This window comes from Homo sapiens, chromosome 9, assembly GCF_000001405.40.
Source record: "Homo sapiens chromosome 9, GRCh38.p14 Primary Assembly".
Taxonomy (NCBI): domain Eukaryota; kingdom Metazoa; phylum Chordata; class Mammalia; order Primates; family Hominidae; genus Homo; species Homo sapiens.
In genome coordinates, this window is record NC_000009.12 from 101818595 (window position 1) to 101822500 (window position 3906).

Sequence of the window (3906 nt, forward strand, 5' to 3'; positions counted from 1 at the left end):
AAACACTCCTCAGCAAATGCAAAAGAATGGAAATCATAACAAACTGTGTCTCAGACCACAGTGCAATCAAATTAGAACTCAGGATTAAGAAGCTCACTCAAAACCAAACAACTACATAGAAACTGAACAGCCTGCTCCTCAATGACTACTGGGTAAATAGCAAAATAAGGGCAGAAATAAATAATTTATTTGAAACCAAAGAGAACAAAGACACAACGTATCAGAATCTCTGGAACACAACTAAAGCAGTGTTTAGAGGGAAATTTATAGCACTAAATGCCCACAGCAGAAAGCCAGAAAGATCTAAAACCAGCACACTAACATCACAATGCAAAGAGCTAGAGAAGCAAGAGCAAACAAATTCAAATGCTAGCAGAAGACAAGAAATAACTATCAGAGCAGAACTGAAGGAGATAGAGACACAAAAAACCCTTCAAAAAATTAATGAATCCACAAGCCGGTTTTTTGAAAAGATTAACAAAATAGACCGCTAGCCAGATAATGAAGAAGAAAAGAGAGAAGAATCAAATAGACACAATAAAAAATGATAAATGGGAGATCACCAGTGATCCCACAGAAATACAAACTACCATCAGGGAATACTATAAACACTTCTGTGCAGATAAACTAGAATATCTAGAAGAAACGGATAAATTCCTGGACACATACACCCTCCCAAGACTAAACCAAGAAGTCAAATCCCTGAATAGCCCAGTAACAAATTCTGAAATTGAGGCAGTAATTAATAGTCTACCAAACATAAAAGCACAGGACCAGATGAATCCACAGCCGAATTCTACCAGAGGTACAAAGAAGAGTTGGTACTATTCCTTCTGAAACTATTCCAAATGTTAGAAAAAGAGGGACTCCTCCCTAACTCATTTTATGAAGGCAGCATCATCCTGATAGCAAAACCTGGCCGAGACACACACAAAAAAGAAAATTTCAGGCCAATATCCCTGATGAACATCGATGAAAAAATCCTCAATAAAATACTGGCAAGCTGAATCCAGGAGCACATCAAAAAGATTATTCACCATGATCTAGTCATCTTCACCGCGGGGATGCAAGACTTGTTCAACATATGCAAATCGATAAATGTAATTCATCACTTAAACAGAACCAATGATAAAAACCACATAATTATCTCAATAGATGCAGAAAAGGTCTTTGATAAAATTCAACACCTCTTCATGGTAAATACACTCAATAAACTAGGTACTGATGGACCATATCTCAAAATAATAAGAGCTATTTATGACAAACTCACAGCCAATATCATACTGAATCAGCAAAAGCTGGAAGCATTCACTTGGAAAACCAGCACAAGCCAAGGACGCCCCCTCTCACCACTCCTATTCAACATAGCATTGGAAATTCTGGCCAGGGCAATCAGGCAAGAGAAAGAAATAAAGCATATTCAAACACGAAGAGAAGAAGTCAAGTTATCTGTTTGCAGATGACAGGATTGTATATTTAGAAAACCCTACCTTCTCAGCCCAAAAATTCCTTAAGCTTATAAGCAATTTCAGCAAAGTCTCAGGATACAGAATCAATGTGCAAAAATCACAAGCATTGCTACATACCAATAATAGACAAACAGAGCACCAAATCAAGAGCAAACTCCCATTCACAACTGCTACAAAGACAATAAAATACCTAGGAATACAACTTACAAGGGATGTGAGGGACCTCTTCAAGGAGAACCACAAACCACTGTTCAAGGAAATAAGAGAGGACACAAACAAATATTCCATGCTCATGAATAGGAAGAATCAATATCGTGAAAATGACCACACTGCCCAAAGTAATTTATAGATTCAATACTATTCCCATCAAGCTACCATTGACTTTCTTCACAGAATTAGAAAAAAACTACTTTAAAATTCATATGGAACAAAAAAGGAGCCCATATAGCCAAGACAATCTTAAGCAAAAAGAACAAAGCTGGAGGCATCATGCTACCTGACTTCAAACTATAATACAAGCCTGCAGTAACCAAAACAGCAGGGTACTGGTATCAAAATAGATATATAGACCAATGGAACAGAACAGAGGCCTCAGAAATAACACCACACATCCACAACCATCTGATCTCTGACAAATCTGACAAAAACAAGCAATGGGGATAGTATTCCCTCCTTAATAAATGTTGTATGCTCATATGACTAGCCATATGCAGTAAACTGAAACCGGACCCCTTCCTTACACCTTATACAAAAATTAACTCAAGATGGATTAAAGATTTAAATGTAAGACCTAAAATCATAAAAACCCTAGAAGAAAACCTAGGCAATACCATTCAGGACATAGGCCTGGGCAAAGACTTCATGACTAAAACACCAAAAGCAATTGCAACAAAAGCCAAAATTGACAAATGGGATCTAATTAAACTAAAGAGCTTCTACACAGCAGAAGAAACTATCATCAGAGTGAACAGGCAACCTAAAGAATGGGAGAAAATTTTTGCAATTTATCCATCTGACAAAGGGATAATATCCAGAATCTACAAGGAACTTAAACAAATTTGCAAGAAAAAAACAAACAACCCCATCAAAAATGGGTGAAGGATATGAACAGACACTTTTCAAAAGAAGATATTTATGCAGCCAACAAGCATATGAAAAAAAGCTCATTATCACTGGCCATTATAGAAATGCAAATCAAAACCACAATAAGATACCATCTCATGGGAGTTAGAGTGGTGATCATTAAAAAGTCAGGAAGCAACAGATGCTAGAGAGGATGTGGAAAAATAGGAATGCTTTTACACTGTTGGTGGGAGTGTAAATTAGTTAAACCATTGTGGAAGACAGTGTGGCGATTTCTCAAGAATCTAGAAGTAGAAATACCATTTGACCCAGCAATCCCATTACTGGGTATATACCCAAAGGATTGTAAATCATTCTACTATAAAGACACATGCACACGTATGTTTACTGTAGCACTATTCACAATAGCAAAGACTTGGAACCAACTCAAATGCCCATCAATGTTATACTGGATAAAGAAAATGTGGCACATGTACACCATGGAATACTATACACCCATGAAAAAGAATGAGTTTATGTCCTTTGCAGGGACATGGATGAAGCTGGAAACCATCATTCTCAGCAAAGTAGCACAGAAACAGAAAACCAAACACCACATGTTCTCACTCATAAGTGGGAGTTGAACAATAAGAACATATGGGCACAGGGAGGGAAACATCACACTCTGGGGCTTGTTGGGGATGGGCAGCAAGGGGAGGGATAGCATTAGGAGAAATACCTAATGTAGATGATGGATTGATGGGTGCAGCAAACCACCATGTCACATGTATACCTATGTAACAAACCTGCATGTTCTGCACATGTATCCGAGAACTTAAAGTATAATAAAAAATTATAGAGAAGAGGTGGGAATAGGTGAGGAGGCCACAATGGTGTGCCCAAGACTGCAAAGGGAGAAGTAGGTGAAAGATGAGAGGGAGATATGAAGCAATGGCAACTAGTCCCCCTTTTGGAGATGGTTGTTCACATCAAGGTAAATGATAGGAAATGGAACATAGAGTTTTCTGTCTTATAATGTGCTTTTGTATCTCAATGTGTTTTTCCTCTTTTAGAACATACATTACTGAAAGGCAGGAAATACGTGTTTGCTTGGAGATAAAATAAAGGGGGTTTCTGGTGATCTGGATTAAACTACTCAAAATGTCTTGAGGATGTTATCTCATATGAGGTGACAGCTTTTTATAGTGGGTGCCGGTTGCCTGTGAAAATACCCCAAAAGATAATGTCTTAAAAGAGCAATTTTATTTTGCTCATGATTTTGTAGGTCAAGTACTAGGCTTTTCTGGATCCAGAGAAGTCATTTATATGATAGCTCACTCTCTTAAAAGGCAAATTGGTACTGACTGTTTGGGAA